This window comes from Homo sapiens, chromosome 3 (genome assembly GCF_000001405.40).
Source record: "Homo sapiens chromosome 3, GRCh38.p14 Primary Assembly".
Taxonomy (NCBI): domain Eukaryota; kingdom Metazoa; phylum Chordata; class Mammalia; order Primates; family Hominidae; genus Homo; species Homo sapiens.
This window is the reverse complement of record NC_000003.12, coordinates 70,970,852-70,984,952: the sequence shown is the minus strand read 5'-3', so window position 1 is coordinate 70,984,952 and position 14,101 is coordinate 70,970,852. Positions and strand designations below refer to the sequence as shown.

The window sequence follows — 14,101 nt, the reverse complement described above, 5'->3', positions numbered from 1 at the left end:
AGAAACTGCTAAAACGTTCTTAGATTGTTTTTACATCAGCTCATAGACGCATTTTCTGGATCTTATTGTGGGACTCATCAGATTTGGATAGTTAGAGGATACGCTCATCTCGGGAAGGTGCCCAAGTTTTTGGACATGGATCTGAGGAAGAAAGCTTATGGGTGAACTGGGGCAGGAGCTCACGGGCTTCCCATCCCTCAGACTCCTTCGACGGCCTTTCTTCCTGCTTGCTATCACATCTCTTTAAACCTAAGTAAAATCTTCCTTTCAGAACAAAACCAAAGACTCAAGGTGCAGGTTGGTTATGGAAAGGGAATTTCTGCATTTAAAATCAAACTATTCCATCAACAAATATTTCTTGAGCATGTGACATACGTGACAAGTAGTCAGTCACATGAGCAAGGCCCATCCCTGCCATGGAGGTGTTCAGAGTCTGGTAAAAGAAATAACAGATAAACTACATACATACTCACACAGTCTCACTTTCCGTGAATTGCACTACCTGTAAGTAGAACAGCTGACCCAGAATGGTAAAGTCAGGGGAGATTGCTGGGAGAAATGATGTCTAAGCTGAAACCTACAAGATGAGCAGGAAGAAATGGTAAGAGGTCAGCCTTGTGAACCTTTCCTTAGGTTAAGAGTGGGTGCCCAGATCGGTCCCTCTGATTGGTGAGTATCAGTGTAGAGGAAGAAAAGGAATAGCCAACATCAGTTAAGACAAGCTTTTCAAACTTTTAATTTTATAAAGACTGGACCCTGCGTGGACGTATGTAGTATGTGTAAGTTGACCAGAGCAGCCCTAAGCTCTAGCTCTCAGGTACATAGAGCCGAAAAGCAGTTCTTACATTTAGAATGGCCACATTTCTTGTTATTTTAAAAGATTCTATTCTTTTCTATGGAAAGAAAAGCAAAAACAAACAATAGTAAACTGCCCTAATGAAAATGATTGATATTCTTTTGTTCCAGACTCAGTAAACATTCTCAAAGTAAACACCCAAATGTCTTGCTTGGAGGTTAATTTCTCCGTGCTTACTCTGTGGAGAATTTGCCAAGATACTTCATTTGGGGGAGGGAGTGAAAAACTAAGAGGACAAAACAAAAACAAAAAGAAACATGTCTGTGATATGATGACTTTATTAAATTACTACGGATTTCTTAAAAAGACTTTTCACACTCTGTCATTATGTCAGGAAAACACTGTAAATCGTATTTTATAATACTGAGTACATGAGAAGAACGCTTTGCTTTAGGGTATTCCTGCACATCAGAGAACAACTTCTGCTCCTGGAGAAACCACATTCTTTTAGATTTGGTGGGCACGTAATTACAGTGTAGGTGGTATATTCTTCTTGACGAAAATCTTATAAAGCACTTACAGGAACTTGGATATTTGTAATGAAATATAGTATTAGATTTTCATTTTTATACATTTTCTTTTCCTCTAACCATAGCCATTAGGACTGTTTTGAAAGAGTTTTTAGCTCCTATAAAAACAAAGTGCCCCCCCGAAAAGAAAGGGTCTTTTAACTCTTCAAGGATCATTTGGGCTGCCTGGGTCCTTGCTTTAGAGTTGGAGAAATAATATTAAGCAGTCATAAAAAGGGATTCTTAGGCACAATACACAAAAGCTGTTTTATATACTGTTTTTCATTAAGTGCCCCACCCCCACCAACCTTTCAACTAGAATTTTTTTGTTTTTGCTTTTAGTATCCCTGCCAGTACCACCACCTTCTAAGTAAGTCATAACCTTCCACGAGTTCGCTTCTCTAAAACAGGGCCAGGCTGAGATGGTAAAGGAAAGGAAAGGAAAGGCTTGTAACAAAGGCTGCCACCCATTGTCCTGCCCTCCGCACGGCCTGGTAACGTCCCTCCAGCCTCAGAAAGGCCGTCTCTGAACTCAGTGATTCATGCCCAGAAATGACACTGCCATGCAGTTAAAGCAGGACTTGAGCTGGCTCAGGCCAGTAAAACAAGAGCAGAAAAACAAGTTCTGTGAGCCCGAAAGTCCCTACTACGCAGTTGTGTCCCTTGGTGTTTGGGTTTCAGGTTTGTCTTTTGTTCTCAGAATCTGTTTTCATGTGAGGCAAGAGCACAAACAAAAATAAAAATGAGTTCTTATGGGAATACTTACAAGTCTGTTTCTGTCAGGGGTTTACATCAGCAGTTTATTTTTTTAATGTGAGTGACTCATCATCTTTAAACAGGAGGGGAGATTACTGTTAAAAACTAAAGAAAGATTAATTAATTAAAAAAAAAAAGGGACTAAGCAGAATAGTGGGTAGCCAACCAAGTTTGAATAGTTTCGATGGCTAAAAGAAAAGCTGATGCCTGAGAGTACAAATAAATTTAAAAAATAAAACCCTACAGCAATTTTAAATGACATAAGAATTTAACTTTTGGCCAGAGTTTCAAAGAGATTATCTTTGCTGAAATCATCACATGATGGAAACTTGCCATGTAGAAAATATCAGAGTTACTGACTTTTCTAAACATAGCAACTTCTTTTAAATAGAAAAGGAACACAATAAGAAAAATAGGCTTTCCATCAGGAAAAGAAACCCTCCCAGTCCATTCCCTTCCTGCCCCATGCCCCAGAAAAAATTATCTTTTAAAACCTGAACTGCAATCAGAAACACAAAGCACATATGCTTTCATTTCTAATTGATGATTACATTAAGATTTAATAGTTTACAATTAAGATGAATATTTCAAGATTACAGCAAAAACACACACCATTCCCCATTTGCTCTTCTGTTCTAAGTCTGTAATTAATTTTTTTTGGGGGGGCACTCTTTTTTCAAAGAGGCCTTAATTAAGAGAGCAGGTTTGGTTTGAACACAGAGCCTGCTTTGAGTCTTTCTTCTCCATTCTTTCTCTCTCAACCTTCCCTTTCGAAGATGGTTTCTCCTCCAGACAAGCATGTGATCATCAAACAGAAGTTTAAAAGTTAAGAAACTTCTGTACCAGTTGACAAGGTTGACATTTCATTAACTTGTTGGTTCAGCCTTCAAATGATTTTGTGTGGCAAAGCACCCTGTGTTTGGAGTGTACAGCTTTTTCTTCTTCCTTCCCTCACGGGCTAGTCATGTTTAATTTGGAATCTGGGCTCCTTTGGCAAATTAGCAATTAGAACAATTTTGTGGGAATATGTATATGTGTCATTAGTTTTCCTGCAAATTAATAGCAAGGGCAGAGGTCAGGCAGAAATTTTCCACTTGACTGCAGCTCCTCTATTGAGACTTGGCACTTGGTTTTGGAATGGCCACAGCTGCTCTCAGCCACCCTCTTCCTCTAGGAACTGTCTTTTAATTAGTTTACCTCATAGCCATCATTACAAATATTACTGCCTCCCCTCCTCGAAATAAAATTACTGTTTCTACAAAATATTCCAGTGACATCTTGCACCACTGCACATTGATGGTGGGGTCAGTCGAATGCAGCATTTAATCATTAGATCACCTCCATCCGCGTCTCCTAATTAGAGTCCTTACAATACATTTTTATCTGGTAATTAGCTGAGATTGGCTGCTTCCTCTGTGGCTTATTAGAGACAGCCCAGCAGTGGGTGTGAATCACGGTGTCATTTGTCAAGCCTGGTAAGCCCCCTCTCTGCTCTCTTCTGGCTCAGTATTTATTCCCACTTGCTAATGTTCAAAAGCCTCCAGAAAATTCTACCTTCATCTCTTCCTTTGTGGATTGTGCTAACTTGGAGGGATTTTATTTTTCGCTGTTGCTTTTTTTTTTTTTTTTTTTTTTTTTTTGGTAGAAAGAGTCCTAGTGGTGCGATCTTGGTAATAGCTACAAGGCTCACATCCTTTCGGCATTTTGATGACATTTTACTGTGGGATTTGTCTATTCTTCGTAGCTGTGAACACCCAAAAAGATGGGCTTGCACTTGCTGAATGAGTTTTGATTTCTGACAATGAAACTGGAACTCAGTTAACTTGGTGATCTTCCTCCCAAAACTGAAAGGGAGCAGGCATGAAGGACATTTGTGTTTGTAATTTTCATTGCATCTTTCAGAAAGCCACAGTGTTTAGGGAAAAGTTCTTAAACTGAAAAGAGAAGCCGAGAAGTATAGTCAGTCCTCAGAACTGCTTTGTGGTTACTGTGTACCTTTGCCCTTTGACTGACGTATGTGTTTGATGGTAAGCGCTTCAAGGGCAGCAATTAGCTGTTTTCTTCCTGTTTTTGTCATTGTAGGAGTAACTGCCTTATATTTGCTCAGTTACACGTGTTGATTGTCATGCATAAGCAGGGATAAAATGCTCTGCACGGAATCTTTTCCAAAAATGAGCATACAGAAAAATGAAACTGGTTAGTGTTCATTTTTGCTATTAACTAGGCATAAGATGATTATACAAAGGATCTAGAATCATACAAGTGTGTGGTTTGACCTTGGGTCTGGGTTGGGAATATGGGCAAATTATTTAATCTCTCCAAGCCTCAGTTTGCTTATCTGTAAAGTATGAGTAATAACATCTCAGATATTAGTGGTGGTATGAGAATTGAAGGAGACCACACAGTGGCAGGTGGTTTTAAAACATGATTTTTACAAATGTTACCCATGACTTTCCAAAGCGCTCTGAGATTCTTAGGCTTAGCAGCGTCTGAATTATAAAAGCTGTATATTTATGAGCATTAGCCTTTCATGCACTAATTTCCTTGACCCTTTGCTTGGGCTGATGCTTATACATACTGTTCCTGGACTTGGTCAGTGATTAAGGCCCGAGGTGAAGAAGAGGTCAGCCCCAACTCTTCCCCCCTTGGCTTCTCAGCTCTGCCCCATCCTGCGGCTGCTACTCTGAACTGTTCACACTTAGTTTGCAAATGTGTGTCAGAAAGCCAGGTTTCCAACATTATAGAGAAAAACCCGCTCATGGCATCTGCTCAGCTTGCTGGGGCATTTGTAAGGGCAGTGCCATCTCCAGAGCTTGCTCTTCGCAGGCATTGTCTCTTGCTCACCGAGACAACATTCTACGCTGAAAATAAAAAGGAAAGCACAACTCAAAGCTCACAACATTCTGTTTCCAGCGCCATGTTTACATTTTTCCATTAGTATTTCTTCATGATATTTGATCTTTCTTTTCTTCAGGTTCATTGCTTTTTTATGAAACTCTCCTGAAACATATTAGAGAGGATTCTCAGGCCCCCCTCCCTTTTTTTTTTTTTTTAACTAGAGTGTGAGTAAAGGTCGAGTCTTCCCAACATATTGGAACTCTCTTTTAATAAGTTCTTTGATTATGATCTCAGAGGAATCTCATTTTTAATACCTTCCACAAATACTGCCTTGTACTTAAGACTGACTATAGCAATGGTGAATTAGACTTGGTGAAATAGACTTACTATGGTAAGTGATTTGAAATCTGGTTTGAGAAAATATTACCAAGTAAGCCTACTTTGCTGAAGTTTATTGGATTTTAGGGTGGGTCTGTGTATCTGAGACAGCACATAAACAGTAATACATACGCTGAAAACAACCAAATTCTTCAGCATTGCCAGACGTAAAATAATATTTCTGTTGCAACAAATTTTGGGGAAGGGTTATGCCTTTTAGTATTTGTAAGAACAGTACTTTAAGGTGAAGATAAGAAAGATAAATTGAAACAGTGCTCATTAATTTATTTTTTTCTTTTTTTTTTTTTTTTTTTTTTTTTTTTTTTTTTTTTTTTTGAGGTAGAGTCTCACTCTATCACCCAGGCTGGAATGCAGTGGTGATCTCAGCTCACTGCAACCTCTGCCTCCCAGACTCAAGCTATCTTCCCACCTCAGCCTCCTAGGTAGCTGGGACTACAGGCATGTGCCACCACACATGGCTAATTTGTGTGTGTGTGTATGTGTGTGCGTTAATGGAGACAGAGTTTCACCATGTTGTCCAGCCTGGTTTCAAACTCCTGGCCTCAAGAGATCCTCCCACCTCAGCCTCCCAAGGTGCTGGGATTACAGGTGTGAGCCACCATGCCCGGCCTATTTTATTCTCTTCTACTTCAAATAAGTAATATTCATTTCCTAACTTGAAGCAGATTATTTCCCATTTTATAGAACATTCAAAACTTGAAGGAAAAAAATCAAAAACCTCAGTTGCAGATCTCCCGTATTCTGTAAAAGAATGTCACAATAAAAAAAATTAACAGATCCCAAGCCTGTATTTGATAGATTTAATAAAGGTTATTCATAATGCTGTTAAGGATTATTTTCTGCCAACTGATTGATTGATTGATAGAAACAAATGACAGCTGGTGGGGTCAGGCCCATTGTGTTTAATATGAGTAATAAATAGGCCACACATATTTGCAGGAGTTCTCGTCATCCACGAAGCTGCATGAGGGAGCTCAGTAGGCTCTTCCTGGGCTGTCTAGTATGGTAGCTACTAGCCACATGGGGCTCTTTCCATTTACATTTATTAAAGTTTAATTTTAATAAAAATCAAGTAAAAACAGCTCTTTGGTTGTGCTAGCATATTGCAGAAATTCTGCTGGACACTTCTTCAGATCTACACCAGCGTATCCCAACTGGTGTCACCTAAAATACTCAGCTTCACTGGTATTGCTAAGGACTTCTCTCCCTCTTTGAGGTTGACAAGGCCTGATGGGCGATCAAAGCCTATAGGTGAGACATCACAATGAAATAAATGTCTTGACTCAGGGTTTCTCACACTCCCTCAGGTAGGTAACCCCTTTTTGAGCCTGTAAACACCCATGTAGCAGCCTTTGGAAAAGAGACCGCTGCCAGAGATATCTTACACTGCATCCTAAGTGAATTCACGCAGGACTCACCGTGTGTTTCGGTTCATGGTAAACATACCATCTACATAGAGGAAGAAACGGTGCCCACGCATCCTCTGTGTTACTCCTGCTAGATGTGGTTCCTGGGTTGCTCTGGTTTTCTGAAGGTCTTCTAAGACGTTGTTTTTTTCCTTGCAGTTGAATCTGGTATCAAGTGTCACTCTCTCCAAGTCCGCATCGGAGGCTTCTCCACAGAGCTTACCTCATACTCCAACGACCCCAACCGCCCCCCTGACTCCCGTCACCCAAGGCCCCTCTGTCATCACAACCACCAGCATGCACACGGTGGGACCCATCCGCAGGCGGTACTCAGACAAATACAACGTGCCCATTTCGTCAGGTAGATACTCCACCTTTTGCCTCACGTAGAGTTGTAATCTGCAATTCTTGTAGACCAGCCCCTTTTGAAAAAGTGATAATTAATAGGACAATGATTCTTATTCAGCAGATATTGCGCAGAACCAAGAATTTTATAAGAACGCAGAAGTTAGACCACCATTTACATATGCATCTTTAATTAGGCAGGTAAGTAAATAACACAGTATATGAAATTCTGTCAGAAGGTATATGTGTACATGGATATATATTGATGAAGTAGATTTAAAAACCGTTTAGTATGCAAGCATGCTGAAACCTTTTCTATAAGGTTTTTTAAAACTGCAATATATAACATAATTGCTTTTGATTAAGTATTACAATACGATGTGATTATTAGGAAATTCATTTCACACAACAGTGAAAATGAGCCTGTTTAAAGATGGCAAGTCAATTATCACAAGCTACAGTAATCTCTGATCCCTAGAATTAATCTGAGCTCTAAATAATTACTGAGCTTTAATCAGCTAGTGAAATGTTTTGCATTTCTCTTTGATTCTGCTTTATGAATGACTAATAAATTAATATTTCTGTACGGAAACAGAAATAAAAACTCAAAACAATTAGATAATTCCATTTTGAATTTTGCTATTGAACTGTTAAATACAACCATTAATCTTAGATCATTTTGTAAAACCTTTCTCAGGATTTAGCTCTGAATCACAGTGATTTTATATTTTCGAGAAACTGTGGAATGACGACTCTGCTGATTTGGTCATAAATTATCTTCTGTTACATTCTGCTTCACAGGCCATTCTCGAATCTCCAGAAAAGCAGCTAACACTAAATGAGATCTATAACTGGTTCACACGAATGTTTGCTTACTTCCGACGCAACGCGGCCACGTGGAAGGTAAGCTTTCTCAGGCCTGTTTATTCTTGGATCTTGACGTTCATAGAACAGTTTGTTGTTGATAAAATGCAGTTGTGCTATAAGGAAGCTACATTTATATTGTTTTGATACTCTTAAAGTGTCCAATCTCTAGGTGTATTTGATTGGGAAAATAGTGCCATTGTGGTTGAAATGCTCTGATGGAAGACTCCCATTATACCAGCATCAGCAGTGTGGAGGGGCCAGCCAGTAAAGTGATCTCTCTCTGGTTGGAATATGTAGAGAAAAGGAGACAACACCGTCGCCCAGAAGTGGAGGTTGCCATATTACTTGCACAAACCTCATGCCGTTAGGTCTTCAGCCACAGCCGATATTTGCAGAGATGTATCTCCAGCGATCTATCTCCAGAGATGGAACCTGGAGAAATGACCAAACTTGACACAGCCTTCAATGGTTGGATAAATAGCTCATTAACCCAATTAGTAGAGAAAGCTGTGCAATCCAAGCACTAGCACTGTTTGTAGGAGTTATTAATGGAGAACACAATGTATTATTAAGGGGCAGGGGTTTTTGTTTTTCTTTTTTTGGTTTTAAGTCAAGAGATTGTCGGCCAGGCACAGTGGCTCATGCCTATAATCCCAGCACTTTGGGAGGCTAAGGCAAGAGGATCACTTGAGCTCAGGAGTTAGAGACCAGCCTGGGCAACGTAGCGAGACCCTGTCTCTACAAAAAAAATTCAATGAATTAGCCAGGCATGGTGGCATGCACCTGTGGTCAACAGCTACTCCAGAGGCAGAGGTGGGACGATTGCTTGAGGCAAGGAGGTTGAGGCTGCAGTGAGCCCTGTTCATGCCACTGCACTCCAGCCTGGGCAACAGAGCAAGACCCTGTCTCAAAAAAAAAAAAAAAAAAGGAGATTGTCCCTCATAGATATACTAAGGAAGAAAAGTAGATTTCGAACTTCATTATATTCATTATAATACTATTTGCTGTAAAAACAAGTCAAATTGCATAGCTCTTTATTGGATGCCCCCAGTAGTGCTTGGGGTCATATATGGCTTACCTCATTCCCAGGTCAGCAGCTGGCTCAAAGATTCCACTGGTATTTACTCCCTTATATTAGATTGATCCCTCACATATTTTTGGGCTTTCCCATTTTTGATTTCTTGGTGTCTAATATTCTTGCTTATAGAAGGGGACAGGTACACTCTGTCATTTGTATTTTTGCATTTTTTACTACCTGGAATTCTTGTAATCCCTGAAATCCAAAACATTTAGAGACATGTGATAACAAACATTTGAGGCTATTTTTACATGCCATTAATCTAAATATGATAAGGATGTGTTATAGGACACAAGGAAAACTTCCTTCGCCTGAAATAAATGCCTTCCTTGCTAATTCCTTAATTTTATACCGGAGAAAAACCAAAGCAAAAGACAGAAAAATACATTTCCTCTGTTAAGTTCCTGATAAATTAGCATTTTAAAAGAAAACGAATATAACCATAGAATTAATTCATCAACTTTACAGAGCTGTGAATATCCATTATGGCCCAAATTATCCTTTCATTTCCATTAAGACACATGGGCACTGAAGGGAACCTATGTTCAAAATCTTACCCTCTTTGCCTCAGCCTGCCTTGGAAGATAAAATATGAAAGGATCTTTAGCCATGAATGCTTTAAAAAATTTAGGAAGTCGAAGCATGAGGCAGACATTTTCTTCAGATTGCCTTTTATAAATAGAAATGATGAAATTTAAAAATAATTACCAGTTGTGAATATAATATTTAAGCTTAGATCTTCAGATTGCACTTTTTCGTTTTGCAAACTGCAGGAAAAAGTGTCATTAATATAAACAGCCTTAGATGAAATAGTGACTCATAAATACGTATAATTTTCTGTACGTGTCCTTGTTTGTACCATGATCTTAGACAAAAGATGAAATGCCCAGTTAAGGTTATGACTGAAAAGAGCTTACACATCTTTTTTTTGAAAACTCTTGACTTCTCGTCGCTTTCTGCTTAGATGTGCAGTTTTGGAAAACAGAACTGAAGTTTTGGCTTTGTGTCTTTACTCACATGGTTATATTGCTCAACCTGATCTACAGAAATTATTTTGTCAAAAGTAGCTTTAAGACCTTTCATTTCTGTACATTTTGATACTTATTTTAAAGCATCAAGCAGTGATTAGGATTAGGAGCAATGTTGACTTCTTTTCAAGTTATATCTCTTACATGTGTCATGCCCTGTCTGGATTTTTAAAGGAAATTGGCTCTGTCCGTTTATTTATACCACCTCAATTTTGTTCCAGTAAGTAACAGTAGACCTTCTATTGTATGCCTTTGGGCAATATATTTTTTTAAAATGCAGCCAAATGCAGTGGCTCCTGCCTGTGATCCCGGCACTTCAGGAGGCTGGAGGATCACTTGAGCCCAGGAGTTCAAGATCAGCCTGGGCAACATAGCAAGACCCCATCTCTACAAAAAATTTTTAAAATTAGCTGGGTGTGGTGACACATGTCTCTAGTCCCAACTACTCAGGAGGCTAAGGCAGGAGACTCGCTTGAGCCCAGGAATACAAGGCTTCAGTGAGCCATAATTGAACCACTGCACTGCAGTCAGGCAACAGAGCAAGACCTAGTTTCAAAAAAAGAAAAAAAAAAACTGCTTATTTAGACTAGACTGCAGTTTATATGCATAGAAAATTGTCCTATCAAGTGTATGACATGCCAAATGTTTTCGGTTTAGAGATTTTTATTTTTAAGCAAATCCTTCTTCCAACTTTTTTGAATCAGGAGTGTCCTTTCATAGTCACCTGGGTATCTTGAACCGACCTCAATTATGCTGACATTACTCAAAAACTTTTTGGGAATTTATCCTGTGAATTCTCCTTTCAAGCAATTCATCACACCATGCATTAAAAAACTTGTCTCATTATCTTCTAAATATTCCATATCAGAAAAGAAAAATCATTATGTAGCTTGAATCCTCACAGCCACCAATTGTGATTGTCCAAAAACTGAAGCACCTCTCAGAGTATCAAGATTCACCACCGTTAAGGATAATTCAGGAAGGAAATACTCCAGGTGGCAGAATGGGATGTGTTGGGGGGTGGGGGGGGGGGGGCGGTGTGCAAAACGCTTGTGCAATAGCAGTGTTGCTGGAATTGAGTGAGGACTTTACCCAGTGTGATGTATGTATCAACTTCTCAAGCCCCAATTGAGTCACCTACTATTGAGTCATCTACTTACTCTGAATAAGAAGAAAATTTTAAGTAAATGACCTGAATCTCTTTAGAATGTCTTCATGTCCAGCGTTGAGTCTGGATCCGTAAGTTTAACCAGGCGGGACTAAAGAAATGAAGCCTTGCTTGTTACTGTACCCAGTAAGGGTTGGGGATTCTTCTGAAACCCAAAGGAAAGATGAGATATTAAAAGCTCTTCACCCTTGAGTTGAGATCCTCCTTTTTGATAAATTATCGATGTTAAGGGTCTCAGCTTAGGAATGGCCAGAAAGGACTTTTAACCATAAGCAAGATATGTCTGCAGAAACCATCAACTGTAGGAATATAGTCATTTTGCCATTGAGAGTTCCACTCGTGTTCCTTTGGCATTTACTCAGTTAAAATACTTGCCGATAGTTAGGGCCAACTCTCATATTCTGGAAGGTGAGACATAACATGATAGCTACTGATCTCTTGACCGGGGCGGGGCGGGGCGGGGGCGGGGGGTCCGTTCACCACCCCCCGATCCTTTGACTATACAAGGCGATACTCTCAACGGTAAAATCCACTTTAGAATTCTTCATAGGACCTCTGGAAGTTTTAAAAGCCAGAAGCCATCAAGAACAAAACTGTATTTAGCAGTATTAACCAAGTGTTCCTCTTTCGTGGTTTGAAAAAAATACCCCCTTTTTATGGGAGGTAGGTGGGCTTAAAAAGGGCAGTTTCATACTTTGCATGTGTTGTTTTGAAGTCACAGTAACATTTTCAGATTTGTACTCTGGAACCTATTTTGGGCTTGTATGCATATTAAAAAATATTTCTGCTGGTCAGTTATTACCAGAGACTAGACGAAAATGCCAAAGTACGATTAATTTATAATTTTGGTTTATTTTTGCTTTTGGAAAAGACATCCTTAACCATGAGAAGGTCCTCCACGGGGGTGGTAGCTACAGCTCTTGGGGATGGTTTTACAAATGTGGACTGTTAGGCTGAATTTACTGCTGTTTTTGGAGTCTTTTCTTATAGAAAATGTAAATGTTCTCTCTTTTATACTTGCTGCAGAATGCAGTGCGTCATAATCTTAGTCTTCACAAGTGTTTTGTGCGAGTAGAAAACGTTAAAGGGGCAGTATGGACAGTGGATGAAGTAGAATTCCAAAAACGAAGGCCACAAAAGATCAGTGGGTACGTCCACCATGTTTGAACTTCTTAGCCTAGCTTGGATTGTGCTAACAAGTATAACGTAGAGGCTTTGGCTGCTAGATGGTGTTAGACCAAAGAACTGGTTTCACGTTGTCTCAGTTAAGGGAAGCAAAAAAGCATTTCATCCCTCCTGTTTTGTATACCCACCAGTCCCCCTGCCCTGCTTGCTGGTCTTTGTTGCATCACATGCTAGTAGCTTTTAGGTGGCAATGCATATTAACCCTCACAAACCATTTGCTTATGCTTATTGCATTTTATTTTCTTTTTCCTGTTCCCTGTATTGGATGTCTGTTCTGCCCCCAACCCCGTCTCCTTTTGTTGCCACTCCATCTCCTTTGCTGCTGCTCCTATCCCAGGGTGCCATTCGCACCAACCTCTCACTGCATAAGTGCTTTATCAGAGTAGAGGATGAGTTTGGGTCCTTTTGGACAGTTGATGATGAAGAGTTTAAACGTGGCCGCCATATTCAACGAGGCCGTCCTCGCAAATACTGCCCCGATGAAAACTTTGACGAGCTTGTCGCACAGTAAGAGCCTTTACTTGCTTTTGTTTTTTTTTTCTGCTGTTGCTTTGGCTTTGCATGGTTGACTCATCCCATGTAGTTTTGCATTTCACCAATAGCAGTGCCACAGCTTTCTGCAACGAAACTAAATTGTGTGATTTGTACATGTATTGCTCTCGTTTCTCTTTGGAACACCAGTGCCTTGAATAATGCTTTTTTGACGTCTTTAATGCAAATATTCGTTCTATTTTGATTCAGCAGCTTACGGGGACCCTAGAACTAAATACTTGTGCTTAACCCATAATCCCCCCTCTCTCCCCACCCCAAGTAAAAAGGGAATTTTTGGTTAGTTAAAATGTGTGTATATACTATTGGGGTAGATTTCTTATTTGTTCACTCACTATAATAATACAAATGTAATGAAGTGAATGACTAAAATGTTCCAAGCATAGTAAAGAAATAGGTCATATTGCATACACTTCCTTTAAAGACCACTGATAAATGTAGGTAATTGCCTACTGGGAGGCACCCTTTTCCCTCAGTATGCCCTATGTAATTTTTTAATATTTTTATCCTTACGAGGCTAGAGATTTTCTGACAACAGTATGTTAGTTTCATTTGGTCCGTGAATGGAGATGGCAGCAAATATTCTCAGACCCTCCCAGATCTGGCTAAGACATCCCCTTATTTAGGAACGACCCTCCCCTGGCATACCCTACTCTCCATCGCCTGTTGGCAATAAACGTGCCTTGTGGATATTCCTTAAAAGCCTTCCTGCCATCCCTCTAGCAGTCACTGTAAAGTTCAAATCTCAAAGATGCTTAGGAGCCAAGATTCTCTCTGCTCGTGCCCAGCAGCCCCTGCTGTGAGCTCACTGCCTTCCCCAGCACGACCTCCTAGGCTGCTGCCTTCCTTTCTGTTGGAGTCTGGAGTCAGGCTAACTCCTAAAAATCTGCAGAGAGGTCTCTGGAGGGAGGACCCAAGCCTGTTACTACCTAAGCCAGAATTTTACACCTAGTTTCCTTGAATAGAGAAGTCCAACCCCAGAGGTGTGCACACACACCCGCCCTGCAAATCAGTGACGGGGAGAAAGCCTGACTTTTCTTGGGTTTTGCTAGTGGGGGAAATTGCTCATTTGGAAGGGCACCAGCAAGCTTAAAACAAAACTTAGCTAGGAACTCAG

General features: G+C 40.0%; 1 protein-coding gene across 18 annotated transcripts in view, besides 1 other annotated feature; it reads left to right on the top strand.

Annotated features, from left to right (window-relative positions):
• Window positions 1-14,101, top strand: part of FOXP1 (forkhead box P1) — a 629,271-nt gene that overhangs the window by 599,026 nt on the left and 16,144 nt on the right. For 15 of the 18 annotated variants that reach the window (NR_146143.3, NR_146142.3, NM_032682.6 and 12 more), the window contains 4 exons: window positions 6,924-7,125; window positions 7,231-7,310; window positions 7,911-8,012; window positions 12,277-12,398. Coding sequence is in view for 16 of the 18 variants with exons in the window: in NM_032682.6 (NP_116071.2) it covers window positions 6,924-7,125; window positions 7,231-7,310; window positions 7,911-8,012; window positions 12,277-12,398 (506 nt within the window). In the remaining 2 variants the exon portion in view is untranslated. Of the gene's footprint in view, window positions 1-6,923; window positions 7,126-7,230; window positions 7,311-7,910; window positions 8,013-12,276; window positions 12,399-12,772; window positions 12,943-14,101 lie in introns of all 18 variants that reach the window. The other 3 variants (NM_001244808.3, NM_001370548.1, NM_001244810.2) reach the window with 2 other exon arrangements.
• Window positions 7,708-8,907: an enhancer, noted in NCBI's record as "BRD4-independent group 4 enhancer chr3:71025197-71026396 (GRCh37/hg19 assembly coordinates)". NCBI's record gives its function as "activates an origin of replication core promoter dependent on BRD2, P300/CBP, MED14 and CDK7 cofactors, and independent of BRD4, by STARR-seq in HCT116 cells {active_cell/tissue: HCT116}" and the evidence as "EXISTENCE:reporter gene assay evidence [ECO:0000049][PMID:35650434]".